Source organism: Homo sapiens, chromosome 14, assembly GCF_000001405.40.
Source record: "Homo sapiens chromosome 14, GRCh38.p14 Primary Assembly".
Classification (NCBI taxonomy): domain Eukaryota; kingdom Metazoa; phylum Chordata; class Mammalia; order Primates; family Hominidae; genus Homo; species Homo sapiens.
In genome coordinates this window covers 91687852-91711742 of record NC_000014.9, presented here as the reverse complement: position 1 = coordinate 91711742, position 23891 = coordinate 91687852, and the positions used below count along the sequence as shown (strand labels likewise).

The 23891-nt window shown below is 38.9% G+C and overlaps 1 protein-coding gene and 1 pseudogene across 1 annotated transcript in view; one reads left to right on the top strand and one right to left on the bottom strand.

The window, feature by feature from the left end:
- Window positions 1–23891, top strand: part of CATSPERB (catsper channel auxiliary subunit beta) — a 151389-nt gene that overhangs the window by 20344 nt on the left and 107154 nt on the right. The window contains exons 6-10 of the mRNA NM_024764.4: window positions 3507–3602; window positions 7042–7191; window positions 18264–18359; window positions 18499–18617; window positions 20188–20220. Of these exons, the coding sequence (NP_079040.2) occupies window positions 3507–3602; window positions 7042–7191; window positions 18264–18359; window positions 18499–18617; window positions 20188–20220 (494 nt within the window). The remainder of the gene's footprint in view (window positions 1–3506; window positions 3603–7041; window positions 7192–18263; window positions 18360–18498; window positions 18618–20187; window positions 20221–23891) is intronic.
- Window positions 1099–2628, bottom strand: LOC100128939 (pyruvate dehydrogenase kinase 3 pseudogene; annotated as a pseudogene).

Sequence of the window (23891 nt, the reverse complement as noted above, 5' to 3'; positions counted from 1 at the left end):
ACTTAGGGTTATCATGCCTTTGTCATATGTATTGTCCCTCTTTATTTCTGATATTGCATTGATCTGAACTCTCCTTTGTCAGATATTGATATGGCTGCTACAGCTTTCTTTTGATTAGTGTCATATTTTTTCATCCTTTCACCTTTTATTCAAAACAACTTTTGGAACACTTTCATCAGCAGAATGGAAGTGCACAAATGAATCTTAAAACCAGCCAGGTGCAGTGGCTCATGCCTGTAATCCCAATACTTTGGGAGGTCAAGGTGGGCAGATCACTTGAAGTCAGGAGTTCAAGACCAGCCTGGCCAATATGGTGAAAACCTGTCTCTACTAAAAATACAAAAATTAGCTGGGTGTGGTGGCACATGCCTGTAATCCCAGCTACTTGGGAGGCTGAGGCAGGAGGATCACTTGAACCCAGAAAGTGGGGGTTGCAGTGAGCTGAGATGGCGCCACTGCACTCCAGCCTGGGAGACAGAGACTCTGTCTCAAAAAATCAATAAATAAAATAAAACCAGTGCATCAGTGAGTAAGCTCTAACACAAAAGTACCCATAACTCATGATGAAAATATAATCAGGTGGAGGAAGACAAAAGTCTAAGACAGTGGAGGAGATATGCATATGAGGAAGGAAGGACCCTGGCACTGAATTATCAGATGGACTCAGCTGATGTCTTTAAGTTTCACATACGCTGAGCCCCTAATCAGTGGTTTGAGACAAGCATTATATTTGGTCACAGTGGGTATATGCTACATCCAGAATGGGAAGAAAGTTCAGAATCCTGTGGAGACTGTAGACACTCAACTCTACAATAATGAGGTGGAGGTTATGAGGATGCTAGAGCTCTAGAGAAGCTCTTTCTTTGTGTCACTAACCACACCACAGCAAGATATGGTAAAAAAAATTATTCAAGTTACTAGTTTAATGGAAGAGCCAGAGTGGCTACAGGAAAGGCTCCATGAAAATATCCAGCTGGCATGGAGGAAATAAACATTCAGCCACTGGAGTAGTTATGGTGCCATGCTCAAGAGTTGGTAGAGAAAGGCGTTCTCTCTGATTGACTTACAAAAGACAATCTTTCTTCACATAGAGGACTAGAAAGTTCTATCAGTACTGACCTTTTCCTGTTTAGTCTTATATTTTGAAGCATCTCTGGGTTTACTGCTAGTATCACATCAATCATCAGGTGTAGTTTTGTAATAGTGCCAAGTAGAGGTCTTAAAAACTGGAAGTCTCTCAAATGATTCACTTAAAACAGCCTTTAAATAAGAGACAGCACCAATACCCATTCATTCCATCACATAGTATTAGATCTCCTTAAAAATATACGGCATGCAGATGAAAAAAAATGGTGAATTTTAACTGAATCCAGCCAAAGGGACAACTCTTATGGGCTACAGCTATATCTATTAGAATTTGAATACATATAGTTTAAAAAAGATACATTTTCAAAGTGAGACACCACCACCTCAGTCACTTAATGAAGAAATCTTTTTTTTTAACCCAAATAACAAAGGTTTTAACAGCCAAGTATCTCTATTTTCTGTCTTCATGGAGTGCTACTGTTGTTCTCGTTGAGTTCTTGAATTGCATGTATAACAGATGTATCGGCACATAAACTACTCGAATAGGTTTGTCTGGAGCTTTGGCATTGAACTCTTCAAATTCCACCTCTGGAGCTACCAGCTAATACTATTCACACAGCCTCTTGGCTGTTTCATATACATTGTTCACTATATCAGCCACATTACAGGTGAGATCAATACTTCTTCTGTGTTTAGAATGAGCAGGGATAGTGTCACCATCAAACAGAAGTGCATGCTAGTTAATAAGCATGTGGGAAGAAATGGAGTTGGGACAAAACCATTCTGGAAGATACTGGCTGTACTGCTAATAAAAGACTCAAACACATAATTTTTCTTATGTTCAATCACTCCATGTACCACTATAGAAACCACATTTTTCTGGCTTTCATCAGTACTTATTGAAAGTTATCTAAGACCTGTGGATCTTCAGGGCTCTTATTTTTATATTCTTTTTTTTTGTTTTTTTGAGATGGAGTCTCGCTCTGCTGCCCAGGCTGGAGTGCAGTGGCTCACTCGGCTCACTGCAAGCTCCACCTCCTGGGTTCACGCCATTCTCCTGCCTCAGCCTCCCAAGTAGCTGGGACTACAGATGCCTGCCACCACACCCGGCTAATTTTTTTTTTTTTTTTTTGTATTTTTAGTAGAGACCGGGCTTCACCATGATAGCCAGGATGGTCTCGATCTCCTGACCTCATGATCTGCCCGCCTCGGCCTCCCAAAGTGCTGGGATTACAGGCATAAGCCACCATGCCTGGCCCTTATTTTTCTATTCTAAAACTTCAAGAAAGTTCTGCATATACCAACTTTGAACCAATCCCATTGAAGGCCTGTTAAACCACTTACCCAGCAGAAAATTGGCTTCATTCACTGTGTTAGCCAGTAGCACGGGAATCTCCTTTTGTGAAATCATATATGATGTTCTCTGTAGCCATTATCTCTCCCAAAGTCCAGGAACTTCTTGATGGAGAGTGGTGACAGCAAGAGGCACAGATAGCAATTGATGTACTTGGGCACTGGCTGCTTTAGTAGCCACCAGTGTAGCCATGGCCTTGCCATGACAGCGCACAGACCTGCCTAGATGCCTGGGTGGACATGAGGGCCTGTGCAGCCAGACCATTTTGACCAGGTGTGTTCTTCATGAGTGAACCCCCGTTTCAGTTTCGACCTCAGCCTTGGCCTGTGCTTACAGCCACTTCAGCAGCTCCCAGGCTAAAGCTACTGCTGTTGGCTTCCACAGGCCCTATCCATTCTTTTACTTTTAACTTATTTATGCTTTTGCATTTAAAATAAGTTTGTTATAAATAACATATAGTTTAATCTTGATTTTTACACCTGATCTGTCAAATCTAGTCTTTTAGATGATATTTTAGACCACTTACATTTAATGTAATTGTTGATATGGATAGTTATATTAAAATCTACCACCTTGCAGGTTGTTTCTATTTGTTCAATCTTCTCTGTTTTGCTTTTCTCCTCTTTTTCTGTCTTCATTCATATTAATTCTTTTCTATGATTCCATTTTATCTCCACTATTGGCTTATTAGTTATACCTTAAAAGCTTTTTTTGTTGTTCACCTTAGGGTTTGTATGATACATTTTAATTAATCATGGTCTGCTTCACAAGAAGAGTCACAATTTGCTTTTTATCAAGCCCCTACAGCTCTAGGAGAAAAATTATGACATAAATATTAGTATCTAGATTCATTGCTATGGTGGTAAGATCACTTCATAATTCTTTTTCCATTATTTTATGAGCAAAATGTTTATAGGGAAAACGTATGAAATTTCACATATAAATACCAACAAAATGGTTGGAAAAGGAAAGGCTATCATTGTTGGTAATGTTCACATATCCTTAAATTTCACCAAACACAACATATGAAAAAATAGTTGATTATTTGCCTTTTGTTTTCAAACAGATATTGCAGCTGTAGAAGAATGGTTAGTAAGAATCACTTTACATCATGGACTAAATATTTATGCTACTGAAGGAACTCTATTGGATGTTATTCGAGGTAAATGCCAACAGACAGAAGTAAAATGGAATTCATATATTCTTTCAACAAACTTTGACATCCGCTATATGCCAGATTCTGTGCTAAGGTCCTAGAGATTAAAAATAAATAAATAAATAGGAGATAATCATGACCCTTGAGGCACTCACAATCTGATAGGATAAAGAATTAAATACATGTGGATAAATTATTAACAAAGATCTGCAAAGAGTGCTATAGAAATGTGGAAATACAGGCTGGGCATGGTGGCTCATGCCTGTAATCTCAGCACTTTGGGAGGCCGAGGTGGGCAGATCACTTGAGGCCAGGAGTTTGAGACCAGCCTGGCCAACATGGTGAAACTCCATCTCTACTTAAAAAAAAAAAAAAAAAAAGTTAACCAGGCATGGTGATGCACATCTGTAGTCCCAGCTACTTGGGAGACTGAGGCAGGAGAATCGCTTAAACCCAGGAGGCAGAGGTTACAGTGAGCCAGGATTGCACCATTGTATTCCAGCCTGGGCAACAGAGTGAGACTGTGTCTCAAAAAAAAAAAAAAAAAAAAAAAAAAAAAAAAAAAAAAAAAGGAAGTACATATTTTACTGTGGCCACATTGAGGGTCATTATAAACAATGGCTTATAAAGTTGATTATATTTACTTATTCCAAAAAAGTAAGTAGTTTTTTAGGTAGCTTCCAAATTAAAAAAAAAATGTTACTAATTATTCAATAGTAATTGCAATACTGTCTTTGGGACTCTGATAGTTTGATATCCTATGCTACTTTTTAACTACTGAAATATCAATATAAAATTGTTATATCAATTTTTAAAAGATCTGAAATGCTAACTTACATTTGTTTAGAATGTACTGAGGTATAATTGCAGCAAAAAGCTTCACAAATTGGTAGATCTTTGAAAGCTCCAGATGTGGAGATGAGATTGATCTGTTTGAGGAACTAAAGGGAGACTAGTGTTGCTGAAGCATAGTAAATGACAGAGTGGTGGATCATGAGTTTGGAGAAGCTGGCAGGAATCTTGGTAAAAAGTGTGGACTTTATTGTAATTATAACTTAAAGCCATTGGGGTATTTTAAGCAGAGAACTAATAAATTCTGATTTATCTTTTATAATGAAAAGACCATTTTGGCTGCTATGTAGAGAATAACTCTTGAGGAAGGATAGCAAGAATGGAATAAAGGAAATTGGTAGCAGTTGTTGCAATAGTCCCCTTGAGAAGGTCTGGAGTAGATGGACAGTAGCATTAGCAGTGGAGGTGGTGAGCAGAGCCTTCAGAATAGATTTTGAAAGTAGAGCTGCTATGGCTTCTTGGTGGACTAAGATGGGGGAAAACAGAATTAACAAGGATGATGCCTGGATTTCTTACTCAAGCATTCAAGTAGAGGATGATATCATTCACCAAAATGCTGAAGACAGGAGAAGCAGACACTGGGAAATAGGAATCAAGAGTTAAGGCTAGAGTTAGAAATCTTTATTCACTACTGAACTCAAAAGAGAGTGTAAAACCTTGTCTCTATTTCTTCATATCCAATCCACACCCCAAACCACTCATTTGTTTCCATCTCCTCCACGCTACTCAAACTGTTGCTAATCACAGTCACCAGTGACCTTCATATTGGTCACTTTTCTGTCCCCTTTTTAGCTTCTTAGTAGCAGTCAAAACTTTTAATCAGTTCCTTGTTCTTAAAATGCTTAAGATATACTACCTGACTTCAGGAACTTGTATATAAGTAGGGGGGCATTGTCAGCTCCGTGATGTCCAGTGGTAAGCTGAAATCTCCCTGACCTGGGTGTGAATGGTCTGCAAACAAATATTATACCCTGCAACGTCAGCTGCTTTGCCCCACATTTCTTTGAATTCTGGAGTGACTTCCTGGTGAATTAGTGTAGTTAGAGATTGTGTCTCTTTCCCTTCTTGGCTGTCCTTGTGCTGCACTACGTCAACCCAGATGAAAAGTTAGCTTGTTTTCTTGCTTTGCACAAAGTGAAAAAAATATCACATAAAGTCTTTGGGTTTGTAGCAGATTTTATTGAAAGTTGGGGAGACAGAGGAGAATGTAAATAGCTAAATAACTGGTTATCAGTTATCTCTGCTTTTAAAAGTCCTTTGACTATTTTTGAAATTCAGACAGCAGTTGTCTTTCAAATTGCCCTGGCTTACTTTTTGTACTCTTTTTTTTCTCATTTTTTTCTAAAAGAAAAAAAACCCTCCCTTTTATTAATGCATGAAAATTCGACTTTAGCTCCAATCCTTTGCATATCCAAAAGTAATATTTTAAGTTTTAAAATTTGTGACGCCTTGTCTGATGACGTTCTTTCGAAAGGCTCATTGTCTACCCTGGTCTGGTGAGGAAGAGTGTACCCTGATTCTTCTAGTTACAGTGAGTGCAGAGTCCTATTGGAGCACCTGGGAGGAGAGCCTCACTCATTCTAGGGCGTCATGGAAGGCTTCCCAAAGAGGGAGACATTCACATTGAGGACTGAAAAATAGGGTTGTGAGAAAAACAGATATTCAAAGCCCCACAAACTAGAGCCTGTAATGGGAGGCCAGTTCTGGCAAGAAGTAAAGCTGAGGAACCAAGAGGACGTCAGATTCTGGAAGGCCTGGTTTGCCACGTGAAAGACCTTATTCACCACTAGTGCTGCTATTCTGCCTGTGCTGCATTGGAGATGCTTCACCTCTGATTGCTTTCTCTTCTGCATCTCATTCCCAACTTCTATCTTGCAGAAATCCTTCTAAGTCTCTTGGCCCCTAATGATAACTGTCCCTGTTCACCACTGCTACTCTGGATTTTACTCATTTTCATCTACCTACTGTTGTTTCAATGAGATTGGGAAGAGAACAAAAAGTAAATGAGTGGGCTCTAGAAGCAGAAGTTATAAATATATTCTGTGATCCAGCAATTCCATTTATACAGATAGATCCTGTGGCAAATAGTATTTTTCAACTACCTTCCAGAAATCCCTCTCAGTCTCTTGGCCACTAATGATAACTGTCCCTGTTCTCCACTGCTACTCTGGATTTATTCCCATTTTTATATATCTACTGCTATTTCAGTGGGATTGGGAAGAGAACAAAAAGTAAATGAGTGGGCTCAGAAGTTATAAATGTGCGTATTCTGTGATCCAGCAATTCCATTTCTAGGGATAGATCCTGTGGCAAATGGTATTTTTCAAATGTGGCCAAAGCAATCTCTCTCATTCCACATGCTCTTCTGCAATGTAACCTTGCCAGCCCCCCACCAAGGGGAATTAGACTTTACTCCTTATATCCTGGAAAATAGTCACTGACTGATTTTTAACCAATGCAGAGTGAGGTAATGCACCTTTTTTGAACTATAGAATAGTTTCTTTACATAGTTCTTTTAAAACCTTTAAAGGAAAGTAGCATCCATTTTCAAGGGTGCTCCCACAATTTAAACACCCAAATTTGATTTCCACAGAACCGATTCTTCAGTGGACTCCTGGGGATGTGATTCCAGAAAGTGAAATCAGTAAATTATATCCACATGTGGTAGATCTCAAAGTGACAAAATGCCCCTGTGCCAATGATGTGGCATTACTAGGCTTCATTGTGGATACAATAGTTGATGGTAGGTCTACAGCTTCATTAAATGTTGACATTGGCCTTTTATATTTTGTAACAGTAATGTTTAACTGGCAGCAGAAATAAATGCATAGACATAGGGAAGGAAAATTGTTTCCTAAAAATACCTAAAAATTTATTATTCAATACTGTATCTTGTCTACTTCCAAGTATGATATACTAAGTATGTTTTCTTACTGTGACTTTTTGCCATGTTAATTGTGACTTTAGTGTGTCTCCTAATTTCATTTATCCCATGCCCTCCATTAATATGTTACTTTCTCCCAGAGATTATCTGCTATTCCTACCATGTATAAATAGGTATTTTTGTTCTTGAAATACCACATTACTTAGTTTATGTTTGCATTTTTTTCATTACTACTGTAATATCTGAGAGCATCTATATAGGGAAAGAAACAACTGTTTCTCTCTATATCCATTTCATAACACTCTAATACCAAATGTATGGATTTTCCACACCGAGTGATTCTCCAGTTCTCTGTGGATGACCGAGTAGGTGTCCTATGATTTAATACAATTCTGGCACTAGCTATCTGGAGTTAGCACAGACCCCCCTCTCCAGCCAACAACAGATTAAGGGCTCAGTCCCACAAGACTGTCCCCCAATTCAAATGCCGGTCACAAGTCCCAGGTTGTAGTTCTAATCAACTAATTATAATTTGGGGAGGTCCCACAAATCCTTCCTTGAGTTCAATAATTTGCTAGCACAACTCACAGAACTCAGGGGAACGTTTATTTAGGTTTGCCAGTTTATTATAAAGGTCAAAACAAAGGATACAGTAAACAGTTGGGCAAGGTCCAGAAGATTCCCAAGAAAAGGAGCTTCTGTCCCCGTGGAGTTGTGACACGCCACACCCCTGGTATGTAGATGTGTTTTAGCATTCCAAAACCTGCACTGTAAGGAGAAGCTTTATCACATAGGCATTGATCAATTATTTATTCAGTCTCCACACCCTCCCCACTTCCTGGGAGATGCACTGTGGGGCTGAAGGCTCTAAGCTTCTAATCGTGGCTTGCTTTTACTGGTGACCACCCCACATCTTAAAGGTATCTGGGAGTCTGTCAGGAGTTGCTTCATTAGAACAAAAGACAATCCCATCACCCAGGAAATTCCAAGGAGTTTAGGGGTTCTGTATCAGGAACTGGGGCCAAAGACCAAATGTTATAACAAAGGATGTTCCTAGCACTCCATCATGCAGGAAATTCTGGAGGTTTTAGGAGTTCTCTATCAGGAGCCAGGGACGAAAACCAAATACGTATTTCTCGTTATATCACAATATCACAATGTCATTACACATTTCAACTACTAATAGTATTATTTTAATTATTGTTCCTAGCTAATTGATGACCTCCTAGACCCCAAATTCAGTGAATATAAAGGAAAATATATTTAAAACTTAAAAAATAAGAAACAAAATTTTATTACTCGTAGATAATATGTATACCTACAAAAAAATCCAAAAAGATCTGTAGAAAAACTCAGAACAAATATGGGTATGCTAGAAGGCTGTGAGATAGAATAACAATGTATAAAAATCACTCCACCAAGGACTAATTAAAGATTATAATTTAAAAAATCCTATTAAGGTAAGAAATCCCAAAAAGTACCCAGGAATAAAAAAAGGAGTTGCAAGGCCTATTGTGTAGAAATTATAAAACTAATGAAGGTCATAAAAAAAGACCAAAATAAATAAGAGATTTCATGTTTATAAGCAGGAAGTTCTGGTATTATAAAGATTTATTTTATAAATAAATTTATTACAAATAAAATGTATTACAAATTTATCAATTCAATATGATTCCAAGAAAAATTATAACAATGTTTTTGGTTTGTGTGTGTGTGTGTGTGTGTGTGTGTGTGTTTTCTTTTTTGTGTCAGGGAGGGTGTAGAAATTGGCAAGCCAAACACAAAATTCATATGGGAGAATGATACACCATGAATAACAAACATAATTTTAGAGAAAAAAAACAAAACAAAAATTTGTCCTAGCATGACTTATTATAAAGCAATAGATTAAAACAGTATGCATCAGTATAGGGATAGACAAATAACCTTGCCCAAATCTCTTTGACTTCCTAATGGCTTATAGTCTGCTTCTGTGGAATTCCTTTAGTTTTACTAGGTTGGTGCAAAAGTAATCGCGGTTTTTGCAATTATTTTTAATGGCAAAAACCGCGATTTTTTTTGCACCAACCTAATAATTGTGTCTTTTTCCACTCTCTGCTGTCATATTCTACACTATGTCAATCCAGATAGAAACTTGGCTCCTTTTCTTATGTTGTTCTGTGAATAGGTCCTAGCCAGGACCTCCTCCTCCTCGTCTTTATCCAAACACCAATACCTACCTTACTTCTGTGAGCCATAGGAGAGCGGTCATTCTGAACTCCTCATGCTTGATTCTGCCTTACAAATGAAAGTCATGGGAGAGAAGCGCCAGTCTTAATTCCTTGGGATCACACTCATGAGGCCACCTCAACCTCTCAAGAAAACAAACAACTTCAGCAACAGGTTCTTTAGGTGAAAGCACCTTTTCCCCAACTGGTCACCACTGTGCTGAAGCAATAAAGGAAGTTCTCACAGTATCAAGCTGCAACTGCCTAAATCAGCAATTTTTTTTTTTTTTTTTGAGACAGGGTCTCTCTCTGTTGCCCAGGCTGGAATGCAGAGGCACAATCATGGCTCACTACAGCCTCAAACTCCTAGGCTCAAGCAATCCTCCTACCTTAGCCTCCCACATAGCTGGGACTACAGGTACACGCCACCACACCCAACTAGCAGTTCCTTTGCGAGGCCTTGTTTGTCCTCCTGGCCTTCATACCACATGGAGTTAATGGTGGGAACAGCTATGCAGCAGCCCCATGTACTCCAATTTGGACTTATTACCCCCTTTCCTCCTCTAGGATATTCTTAAGACATAAACCATCAGGCCTCCCATCAGTTACCAGAACATAAGCTTCCGCAGATCATTTCTGGTTATCCTATCCCACATACAGTTCTGAATGTCCTCTAATTTGATTCAAACTTTTATCCCGCTCTATCCACCCAAATCCTTTCATTAGAATTTGTGGCCTGTCATTAACAAATTCCCCCATATCACTCACTTTTTCTCTGAATGGTCCCTTAACTTTCTTTCCATAAAGAGTACTGGGTCATCCTCAGATGACATTCTTTCCCCTCAGCCCTCCCACATATCACATATTTCAAAACCCAGGGTGAGGGTTGTTGTCTTTGCTCCTTAGGATTACTGCTTAATCACTACTCCTGTCCTCTTGTTTGAAACATGGAGCTTTTTTGAACTCAGACTTTACCTCCCTCTAACTTTTCTTGGTTGCCAGCATTTGGTGACCTCCTCACCGCTCACATTCATTCATTTACAAGTTTAATCTCTGGGTCCCTGCCTTCCTCTCCACTTGACTTTTGTCACTATTTTTGGTGACTTCACCATCCATATGGATGATCCATGCAGTACCTAGCTTCAAGGCTTCCTGTCCTCCAATGATCTTTCCCCTATCTTACTCCTATGGCAATATTCTTCTTAAAATTTTTAATTTAATAATTGCAACTTTTATTTTAGATTTGAGGGGAGGTACATGTGCAGGTTTGTTACATGGGTATATTGTGTGATGCTGAGGTTTGGAATATGAATGAGCCCACCACCCAGATAGTGAGCATAGCACCCAATAGTTAGTTTTTCAACCATTGCTCCCTTCCCTCCCCCAGCTAGTAGTCCCCAGTGTCTATTGTCGCCATACTTCAGGTCTGTGAGTAGCTCCCACCTACAAGTGAGAACATATGGTATTTGGTTTTCTGTTGCCTGTGTTAATTCACTTAGGATAATGGCCTCCAGCTGCATCTATGTTGCTGGAAAGGACATGATTTCATTCTTTTTATGGCTGCATTGTATTCCATGGTGTGCCACATTGTCTTTATCCAGTCCACCATTGATGAGTACTTAGGTCGATTCCATGTCTTTACAACCTATGAACAAAAAAAAGCCCTGGACCAGATGAATTCACAGCCAAATTCTACTAGACATGCAAAGAAGAGCTGGCACCAATCCTACTGAAACTATTCCCAAAAAATTGAGGAGCAGGATCTCCTCCCTAACTCATTCTATGAAGCCAGCATCACCCTGATACCAAAATCGGCAAAGACACAACAAAAAAAGAAAACTAGAAGCCAATATTTTGATGAATGTAGACAGAAAAATTCTTGACAAAATATTAGCAAAAGGAATCCAGCAGCGTATTACTATGCAGTCATAAAAAAAGAATGAGTTCATGTCTTTTGCAGGACATGGATGAAGCTGGAAACCATCATTCTCAGCAAACTAACACAGGAACAGAAAACCAAACACCGCATGTTCTCACTCATAAATGGAAGTTGAACAATGAGAACCTATGGGCATAGGGAGGGGAACATCACACACCGGGCCTGTCGAGGGGTGGGGGACAAAAGGAGGGATAGCATTAGGAGAAATATCTAATGTAAATGATGGGTTGATGGGTGCAGCAAACCACCATGGCACATGTACACCTATGCAAAAAACCTGCATGTTCTGCACATGTATACCAGAACTTAAAGTATAATAAAATAAATAAATGAATATTATTAAAATAAATAAATAAATAAAATTAAAAAGTAAAAATAAAAAGTTAATTCAAGGCTGGGCACGGTGACTCATGCCTGTAATCCCAGGACTTTGGGAGGCTGAGGTGGGCAAATCACCTGAGGTCAGGAGTTCAAGAGCAGCCTGGCCAACATGGTGAAATCCTATCTCTACTAAAATACAAAAATTAGTAGGGCGTGGTAGTGGGTGCCTGTAATTCCAGCTACTCGGGAGGCTGAGGCAGGAGAATCTCTTGAACCCGGGAGGCAGAGGTTGCAGTGAGCCGAGACCGCGCCATTGCATTCCAGCCTGGGTGACAAGAGCAAAACTCCATCTAAAAAAAAAAAAAAAAGTTAATTCATCATGATCAAGTAGGCTTCATTCCTGGGATGCAAAATTGGTTCAACATATGCAAATCAAGAAATGTTATTCTTTTTGCTTAGGAATACTTTAGCTATTTGGGCTCTTTTTTGGTTTCATATGAATTTTAGGATTTTTTTTCTAATTCTGTGAAAAATGATGTTGTGATTTTGATGGGAATTGCATTGAATCTATAGATAGTTTTGGGCAGTATGGATGTGGGGGAAAGGGAATGCTTATACACTGCTGGTTGGAATGTAAATTAGTACAACCTCTATGAAAAACAGTGTGGAGATTCCTTAAAGAACTACAAGTAGATCTACCATTTGATCCAGCAATCCCACTGCTGGGTATCTACCCAAGGAAAAGAAGTCATTATATGAAAAAGACACTTGCACACATATGTTTATAGCAGCACAATTCACAATTGCAAAGATGTGGAACAAACCTAAGTGCCCATCAACTAATGAACAGATAAAGAAAGTGTGGCATACATATACCATGGAATACTACTAAGCCATAAAAAGGAATGAAACAATGTCTTTTGCAGCAACTTAGATGGAGCTGGAGGCCATTATTCTAAGTGAAGTAACACAGGATTGGAAAACCAAAAACCATGTGTTCTCACTTATAAGTGGGAGCTAAGCTATGAGCAAGCAAAGGCATACAGAGTGATGTAATGGACTTTGGAGACTCAGAAGGAGGAGGTTGGGAGGGAGCTAGGGATAAAAAAAACCACACATTAGGTACAATGTACACTACTTGGGTGATGGCTGCACTAAAATCTCAGAATTCACAGCTACATAATTCATCCATGTAACAAAAAACTACTTGTACCCCAAAAGCTATTGATATTTTTTGAATAACATAAAAATGTGATTTACCATATAAATAGAACTAAAAGCAAAAGCTATATAATGATCTCAATAGATGTGGAAAAAACCTTTGATAAAACCTAACATCCCTTCATGTTAAAAACTCTCAACCAACAAGACATTGAAGGAACATACCTCAAAATAATAGGAGACATCTATGACAAACACACAGATAACATTATACTGAACTGGCCAAAGCTGGAAGCATTTCCCTTGGGAACCAGAACAAGACAAGGATGCTCACTCTCACCTCTTCTATTCAACACAGTACTGGAAGTCCTAGCCAGAGCAATCAGGCAACAGGAAGAAACAAAATGCATCCAAATAGGAGAAGGAGGCATCCAACAGAAGAAGTCAAACTCTCTCTCTTTGCCGACAATATGATTTTATACCTAGAAACCCCTGAAGACTCTAACAAAAAGCTCCTAGAACTGGTAAACAATTTCAGTAAAGTTTCAAGATACAAAAATCAATGTAGAAAAATCAGTAGCATTCCTATACACCAAAATCATTCAAGCTGAGAGCCAAATCGAGAGCACAATCCCATTTACAATACCCCCCACCACACACACACCCCTAGGAATACATCTAACCAAGGAGGTGAAAGATCTCTACAAGGAGGAGTACAAAACACTGCTCAAATAAATCATAGATGATACAAACGAATGGAAAAACAGTCCATGCTCATGGATTGGAAGAATCATTACCATCTAAATGGCCATACTGCCCAAGCAATCTACAGATTCAATACTATTCCTATCAAGCTACCAATGTTATTTTTCACAGAATTAGAAAAAACTAGTCTAAAATTCATATGGAACAAAAAAGAGCCCAAATAACCAAAGCAATCCTAAGCAAAAAGAACAAAGCCTGAGGTATCACATTACCCAACTTCAAACTATACTACAAGACTGCAGTAACCAAAACAGCATGGCACTGGTACAAAACCAGACACATAGACCAATGGAACAGAATAGAGGATCCAGAAATAAAGCCACACCCCTACTACCATCTGATCTTCAACAAAGTTAACAAAAATAAGCATTAGGGAAAAGACCCTATTCAATAAATGGTGCTGGGGTAGCTGGCTAGCCATACACAAAAGAAAAATGAAACTGGATCCTTGCCTTTCTCCATATACAAAAGTTAACTCAAGATGGAGTAAAGATGTAAATGATTAAACTCTTGACCTTGTCATCTCTAATGTCATTAGCTCTGAAATCCGTAGTATCTGCATCGTACACTCTGTCCACTGCCTCTTATTCTTTGTCTGTTCTAGTACTCACACTCCAACATTTCTTTGATCTCATTGAGACCTTAATCCATTTTCACTATCACTTTTTTCACTACCCAACATCCTTATTTTCCTCTGTTCTCACCATAATTCTCAGAGCCCATCTTTTTAAATACTTCTGTAACTCCCTTGCCCTTCTTTTTCCTCCTTGCCTGCCCAACCCCAACTCTAAAACCATCTCTGCTCCTGCCCTGCAAGAGCAGAATATTGCTGGGGAAAAATTGCATGCTAGTCTCATTTTGACATTTCACTGACCAGTCTCACTCTAAATTCATGATCATGAATCTTAAGTGGGCACTCAGTACTCCCTATAAAGAGTACTGCCTATAAATCCTATCACTCTTCGCTTGTATATTTATTTTCCCACTCTGCAAAATTTATCACACTTCTTTCCACTCCTCAAATACTCTTCCCCTCTTACTCTTGGCTGTGCCTTTATATAATACTTCAGAGAAAATAAAGATTGATTATAGAAACCCCACTGTTGCAACTGGAAATCTGCCATCATACCTGCATTTGTATGCTTTGCCTTTACTGCCTGTTGCACTGTAAGAAATATCTCTGCTGCAATCAAAGGCTACCCCTCAGCCCTTGTGTTCTGGATCCCATTCCTTGCAGCCATCTGAACAACCTTGCTCTTACATCTGTTGTGCAATTCTCATCTTTCTCTCCAACATCATCATACTCTTCCTCCTCACTGGATTGTATCCGTTAGGATAGAGACATACCCTAATATCCCCCATCTTAAACAAAACCTTCGTTTATCTCACTTTACTTCCATCTCCACTTCTCTGTTCCCTTTCAAAAAAAAAATATTTAAGGCCAGAATTTAATGCAGATGATGCTGTTTTTCCACCTCCCATTTTATCTTCTTTCCACTACAAATCAGACTCTGGTTTCCATCACCGTACTAAAACATTTCTTCTCAAGGCCACTCACAGTTTCCATATTGCCAGTTCCAACAGCCAGTCTTTTATGCCCATTCTACTTTCCTTTCCAGCAGCATTTAACAGGGTCGACCAGTCTCTGCTCAAAACACTTTCTTCTTTTAGCTTTCTTGATACCACTTTCAAGTTCTTTATATTTTCTCATTGGTCACTCTTTAGTTTTCTAGGAGGGCTCCTTTTTGGTGTGACCCCTAAATGCAAACCTAGGGCTTTGTTTTTGACTGTCCTTCCTTAAGTTACCACATTCTCCCTCCAGAAGACTTAATCCAGTCTGATGGCAGTAATGCCATCTTCAGGCTGATGATTCCCAAATCTATATTGCTGCTGCTGACCCCTCCTTTGAAACAAAACTACTCCTCTCTTCAGTTGTCTATTACGCATTTCTTCTTGATGGCTAATAAGCATCTCAAATACAGCAAGTCTGATCCAGAACTCTTGATCCATCTCCCTCAAAAAATCTGTTTCTCTCCAGTATTTCTCATCCCAATTAGTATTAAATTGGTCAGAACTGAAATCTAGGACACATTCTTGACTGCTTCTTACCCTCACAACATTCCCCGATTGTGCTGTCTCCAGGGTCCATCGCCAATGTGACCACCTCACTTCTCTGCTAAAATCTTAGGTCAAGTCAACATTTTTTATTAGACTAATTAGCCTCTTAAGTGGTCTCTCTATTTCCATTCTTGTGCCAATACAAATCAGCCTCCATACACCCACCAGAGTGATGTTCTCAAGTATAAACCAGATCACATCACTTCCCTGCTTCCAACACTCCTGTGGCTTCCCTTTGCCAATAGAATAAAAGCTAAACTTTTCACAATGGTCTGCATCAGCTTCTGTAAGCCCTGGGATAGTTTGTCACAGAGAGTAGCCTGTAACTTAATTTTAGTCTGTAAATATTAACCAGCATAAAGTGTTTATTTTATGATGTCTCCATTAAATAGTGTTTTTTTGCAAGAATCTGGTCATGTGATAGCATGCTGGACATCTATAATTATTCCCACTTAAACTATCCCACCGTTAGGCTGGGTGGTGGCTCACACCTGTAATTTCAGAACTTTTGGAGGCTGAGGTGGGCGAATCACTTGAGATCAGGAGTTCAAGACCAGCCTAGCCAACATGGCAAAACCCTGTCCCTACCAAAAATACTAAAATTTAGCCAGACATGGTGGTGCACACCTGTAATCCCAGCTACTCAGGAGGATGAGGCACGAGAATTGCTCGAACCTGGGAGGCGAAGGTTGCAGTGAGTGGAGATTGCGCCACTGCACCCCAGCCTGGATGACGGAGTGAGACTCTATCAAAAAAAAAAAAAAAAAAAATTCCCACCATTATCTGTAAAACTAAACTTAATTCTCAGAAAGGCAAAGTTTGTCTTTAGTTTTCCTCTTCCTGGAAAAAGTATACAATAATAAATAACACTTCCTTCTACAGCTTTCCTTAAACAGAAAAGAGCTGAGAGTTAAAACTCACACTTCAAAATATGACTCGTTCTACAAATGTCCTCTTTTGGAAATAAAGTATATGCGTTAGATTGCCAAGGTTCCTTAGCCTCCCCTCCTCCCCAGCCCAGTAGTTATGTCCTTTGACAAAACTTCAGATCAGCACCTCACATTTAAAACACAAAAGACTCTAGACATTCCTACCTATGACCAAGAAAAGGTGGGGTTGGGGAACAAAGTACTTTAGGATTTGTGATGTGTTCAATCTTCTTCATTTACAAGGTTTTAGTGAAACTTTAGCAAAAGTTTTCTCTGTTTTTAAAATCACAAATAAAAAAGTAAATCATAGTTTCTCCTGTCTTGGAGTTTACATTTTAATTTTCTTCTTTGGAGTTTTTAAAAATTATTATTAACTAAAATTGTACTCCTGAAATAGGAGCATCTTTATGCTTAGAAGGGTACTGTTAGGGAGGAAAAATTTTCCTCTGTTCTCTTATGCTTAGTGAATAGGGCTCTATGAATTAAATCCACACAACAGATTTCTTTTTTTTTTTTTTTTTTTTTTTTTTTTGAGATAGGGTCTCTCTTTGTCTCCCAGCCTGGAGTCGCATGATCATAGTTCACTACAGCCTTGACCTCCCAAGCTCAACCGATCCTCTCACCTCAGCCTTCTGAGTAGCTGGGACTACAGGCATGCACCACCATGCCCAGCTAATTTTGTATTTTTTGTAGAGACAGGGTTATACCATGTTGCCCAGGCTGGTCTCAAACTCCTGGGCTCAAGTGATCCTCCTGCCTTGGCCTCTCAAAGTGCTGGGATTATAGGCGTAAGCCACCATGCCCAGCCCAAATAACAGAGTAACAGGATAAAAAGCACACAATTTTTTTTTATTATTTATGTGCATGGCAGTTCACAAATAGAAGTGAAGATCAAGTGGTTAAATCAGGAAATTATATACCATTTTCACAAAGGAAGTGGATTTAGGAATCAAGGAACAATTAGCTGTAAGGAAGTTGTGACTAGAAAATATATAGGGGAACTAATGGCAGATAAGGGTTCCCTATCTCCAGTGATAAAAATGCTCTTCTTTTTCTGGTAAAAGGAGCAATTTATGCTTTGCTTTTAAGCAGATAAAGGGAGGGCAGAGACTGCACTTATTGATTCTCAATTGCCTTCAGGTCAAAAAAAAAATCCTTAAACTAAAGTGGCATATTTGGCATATTCTGATGCCCTTCTACGTAAAAAAAGATACAGTACAATTTGGAAGATATTTTAAGAGAATGAACCAATACCTTAAGAGGGTTGATTTTAAGGGCATATTATTCCCAGCAGTAATCATTCTAGGAGTCAATCAGATGGTTGGCTAATATTATGTGGTGTAACTTGAAGTTACTTCATCTTTCCAATGCTTTGGGAAGTGAGAGTCATAGTGCTGAGAGGGAGTTGGAACGGACTCTGGGCTCTTGCCCCTGAAGGTGACTCACCTTGTAAAGTTGCCTGGCTTTAATTTTCCTTTTGTTTCATGGTAGGTGTTTACATAGGCATAACCTTTGGTGGATTCTGGCATGATTATGATACCACATGGTTTAACATGACACAGACTATCTATTCCCAACTTCAAGAAGGTAACTCCTCTAACATTGCCTTCATCTTGAGCATTTTACTTACATCAATATTTGATTAATATCTATAAAATGTCTTTGCTTCAGTAAGGAACTCACTTTTTTCTTACTTTTTAATCCATGGTATGATTTCTTCGTTTAGAATATGAAGACCTTTCATTGGTGGATATGGTTTTAACGAATCATTTTTTAGTTATCCTCACCTCTTTGGGCCTTTTTGTAAGTGAAGATCTTCGTTATCCATCACGCCACAGCTTATCGGTATGTAAATTGCTTTGTAACTAATAGCTAATCTTAAATATCTTCTGTGACACAAAAAGAAATATTTAATACTTGAGTTATGTGTGGTGTATCTTAAAATTGAAATGCTTCTTTCTTTCGAAAAACATAAAGGCATAATACAGTAACTTTTTCCTTTACCTCGTAGTATTGAATATATAATTTGGAAGTGGTGCTAGTTGTATTGCTCTACAAATTTATAGTAAGTTTTAAATGTATACATGCAGAAAAGATCTGTCTACCTACCTATTGATTGATCCATTTATTTATAGCTATATATGTTACCCAAATGCTTTAAGGTAATTTATAAAGCCACATATAGTATTACAAAGTAACATAAGTGAAAAGTAAGTATTGGGATTGAGCGAAGGGAAATACACGTTTAGGTGAAGATTGTTAATATGCATACCATAAAATTCTTAAACATGTTAACAAGTACCTCTCAAAAATTACCACAACAGAGATGAGACAAGCAATAAAGACTTGGGATCGGTAGGAGAAAAGATAGAGGGAAGTAAAGAAGGGGAAATGGTATTGATTGAGACACAGATATTTCTTATACATGGTAATTATTATCTTTCTTCAGGTATAAGAATATTCACATATACCTGAGCCTTCCTCACCATCTCTGAGAAAGTACCATTTGTTGCTCAGATGACTAGGGGATCTGGGGTTTTTAAAATGCTTATTATATAATTGCTAAAACAGAGAGTTGAAACCAGGAACGCTACAATGGCTTAAAATCAAAGTGCAGAGAAGTAGACGGGGATTGTATATTGTAAGTCCTGACCTCTGGACTGCTCTGGCCTGGGCAGAAGGAACAGAGTGGCAAAGGAGAAAATAATAGGTTGAGGGTGTGCCTTCCTAAACCCAAATGGGCGGCAGACTTGCATATGCCAGCACACTTCTTCTTTTTTTTTTTTTTTTTTTTTGAGACTGAGTCTCGCTCTGTTACCAGGCTGGAGTGCAGTGGCGTGATCTCAGCTCCCTGCAATCTCCGCCTCCTAGGTTCAAACAATTCTCCTGCCTCCGCCTCCCAAGTAGCTGGGATTACAGACATGCACCACCACGCCCAGTTAATTTTTGTATTTTTAGGAGAAACGGAGTTTCACTATGTTGGCCAGGCTGGTCTCAAACTCCTGACCTCGTGATCCGCCTATCGCGGCCTCCCAAAGTGCTAGGATTACAGGTGTGAGCCACCGTGCCAGGCCCACCTGCACACTTCTTAATTCCTCCATTTAAATCATTAAAAGGCATGGTTTTCGTCTCAAATCCTTTCTGGAATCACACTAAAGTATAAGTAAATTAATAAAATAATGAAATGAGGCAAAGACTGATGGGGAAATTCCCTGGATATTGTATAAACTATATCAGAGTTTGCTTTTAGTGTTTGGCTATCCTAACTGCTAGGATAGAAAAAACATATAATTTAGTTATAATTTTGTTTCAACGAATTTATATGGTTTATTTCCTTTAGTATAATTTAAATTGCTATGTTTTGTTAGGCCTTCTGATATGCAAGCAAAAATTAAAGTTTCTTCTTTTCTTCTAGTTTTCCAGGGCAGACTTTTGTGGTTTTGAAAGGGTAAGAAGCTTTATATTTCCCAGGGCTGGTTAGAAGATATGTGTTTACTTGGTAACTTGAGATGAGATGCAAGACAATAATTCACAATATAAGTTATTCCAGTTACTATATTATTTATAGTTTAAACAAAATATATATTTTTTTATATATATGAATTTGTAGCATATATTATTTATACATATATTCGTAGCAACCATTAAGCAGTGCTCACCTCTTCTGCTTCAAAGGAAGAAGTGCTCCTCCCTGTTTCAGAGGTCACCCCCACCCCGTTTCCTATGCTATGTCCAGGCTAGCTATGGTTGTTCAGTTTGGATTCTGCACAAGTACACTTGACTGAAGAGAGTAAGGTGGTGGGGTCTGGCTAACACTTTACTCCTCAATCCATCTACCCCAGTGTAAGTCTGTTCTACTTCGAGAAAGGGGTACCTTTTCTAACTTACAAAAAATGTCATATAATCTAGTCACTGGTCTGCTTCTGGCCTTTTGGGGGATTTTGTTCCATCAGTTATCTCCCTTATATGTTAAAAAGTCAAGTTTTGTGATTAATGAACTAGGTCATTCCCATCAGCATATAAGCATGCTTCGGTTGGAAAACCACAAATGAAATCATGAGTGTTCCTAGCCATTTGCCATATGCCCTCCCTATTCTGTCCTCATAGAGTGAGCAGATGGCTATGGACCAGAAAGGTGGCCCTCGCCAGGCACTGAATCTGCCTGCACCTTTATCTTGGACTGTGCAGGCTCCAGTCTGTGTGCACATGTGCATGTGCACATATACCCACATTCACACTGTCTATGAGAAAGGAACATTTATTTCTCAGGAAGCAAATAGAACTGACTAATTGTCATACTAATCAGAGGACAAGTAGAGCAGATAACTGAGAGAGCCAGATGGGCAAAAATGATTTGCATTATAAAGAATAGAGGGAAATAACTGTCAAAATAGAATTCCATACCTAGCTAAACTATGTATCTCAAGAATGAGAGTGAAAAGAGAATGTTCACACCCAAAGACATTGGGAGGGTTTACCATCCAGAAATTCCCATGAAGGAGTAGGATGCCAGAAACAGTGAGGAAAACTGGAATGTAAGTTCTAAGACCTGGGAGAGCAGGAGCCCTGTCTATGCTGTTTGCTACTAGATCCCAGTGTCTAGAATGGCACCTGACACAAGGTATGCACTTAGTAAATATGTGTTCAAAGAATGGAATTGGTATAAAAAATAAGTTATGGCCAGGCGCGATAGCCCACGCCTGTAACCCCAGCACTTTGGGAGGCTGAGGCGGGTGGATCACCTGAAGTCAGGAGTTATAGACTAGCCTGGCCAATATGACGAAATGCTGTCTCTACAGAAAATACAAAAATTAGCCAGATATGTTGGTACATGCCTGTAATCCCAGCTACTCGGGAGGCTGAGGCATGAGAATTGCTTGAACCCAGGAGGCGGAGGTTGCAGTGAATCGAGATCGTGCCACTGCACTCCAATCTGGGTGACCGAGCTAGACTCTGTCTCAAAATAAAAATTAAAATAAATTAAATTAAAAATAAGTTATACATTTTGTGTTTAATAATTGGATGGAACCAAAACTCTAGACAATATAACAAGGAGAAATGGCAGTAGTTTTCAGTGGATAATAAAGTATTTAAGATCTTTGTAAGGAGAACCAATATGGGGAATAAGTTAAGAATTTGTTAGAAAAATGTGCAATTCAGCATATATGTTAAGAATTGAAGGATAATTACCAAAAAACTAAAATAAGACAAAAAGAATATAACCTAAAACTTCCAAACCACCAGACGAAGGAAAACAAGATTAAAGAATAATCCATCTATTCTACAAAAAGGAAGAAAGGAGAGGAGAGATAAAGGTAAAAGAATAGAAAAACTATGAGGTAAAACAGTAGAAATAAATCCAAATATCTCAGCAATTACAATAAGTGGAAAGGAACATTATAGGAAACTGAAGAAAAGATAATATATATTTTAAAAAGTTACACCTAAAGAAGAATCACACAAAAAGTAACATAAATGGATGGAGGAGACTGTGACCTTTAACTCCCTTTAGCTTTCATCTTCAGCCTACCTGCCCTGCTAAGTCAAAAAAGGCTGCTGGGGCCACTGGACAGCTGGGCTCACTGGGAGCCTGCTTTGAGGAATCTCACTGAGGAGATCTGGCATGTCGTTACCTCACTCATGGTTTACCTGAGAACAAAGTGCTGGCAACACAGAGCGGGGAGTAGAGGACTGGGAAGGGGAAGGATTCTGGAGGGAGTTTGGCTGGCAGAGCTCCGCGAAATCCTAGGGAAGGGTTTTCTCAGTTTTGGGAGTGTGGCTGAGAGTAAGGCTAGAGATGGGCCTACCGGGAGAGCTGCATTCTCCCTGTGCCTGAGGTAGGCAGGTTGAAGGAGACCTGGAAAGAGGGGAACCCCTTCTGTTTCCAAGGTGGTGGCATGGCAGCCCAGAGGGCTAGAGACCACTTTGCCATCTATTATTCCAATTGTCAAAATTCGAGGTGCTCCACAAACCATACCTGAGCCCTCTCTTCAAAGCACACTTAAGGTAGCCTGGCATTCTGAGAGCAAAGATCATTAGAATAAAACTAGAGTCGCTGGTGGATAAGGCAACAATTGAACGAGAACATTTTTAAATAAAATCATTTCACAGATACCCAGTGAGCACCTACTCTGTGATTACCATCATTGGCACTGAGGTATTAGCAAGAACACAGTCAATATCAATAAAGAGCTTCAAGTGCAGCATAAAAATACTTCCTGGGACTGAATACCAAAATTTCCATTAAAAATGGAAAAAATTGAAAGATAGAATGGCCACTGTTTAAATGCAGAGTAGTGGCATGGAAAATCAAGATGAAGAAACTTCTCAAACCATCTAAGGAACATCACTAGAAATCACAAGGGCAAAAGTGAGCCTTTGAGGAGAGATCCAGAAGGGCTAACAGGTGAGCAAAAGAGTTTTCAGATGGATTTAAAAAGGAACAGATATAAGACAGGCAATAATAAAAAAAAATGAAAGAACATTAACTGAGATTAAGAAAATTCCAAGGCTATATATTACAATCCACTAAATTCCAGGGAGCACTGAAAAAATGTAGGCATATCCAAGGAATATATTCCTCAGTTTTAAGGTTAAGGGGGAAATATTACAAGTATCCAAACAGAAAGAGCAAAAGCAAAATACACCTCACTGGTATTAGATTTTGTTTATACAACAGTAGAAGCTTGAAGACCGTGAAATCAACATCTACCGTCTACTTAAGACAAAAGAACCAAAGTCCAGAATTTCTATTTCCAGACAAGAGATTATTCATCTTTCAGATTAAAAAAGTTTATGACCTGGTTATCCCAACTAAGGAAAATACTCAAGAAAGAACTTTAATAAAACAAATGAAAAAGAACAGACATTTCAATAAAGGGGAAGAAAATGAGGAGAGGACTAGTGATAAGAAATGCTTGGCTGTTTCTCTCATTTTATCTCATATTTATTCGTGTGTTTTCTGTCTATCCATATAAATCAAAATGGAGTACTAGATAAGGATTTTTTTTTTTTTTTTTTGAGACACTCTCCCTCTGTCACCCAGGCTGGAGTGCAGTGGTGATCTCGGCTCAGTGCTACTTCCACCTCCTGGGTTCAAGCAATTCTCCTGCCTCAGTC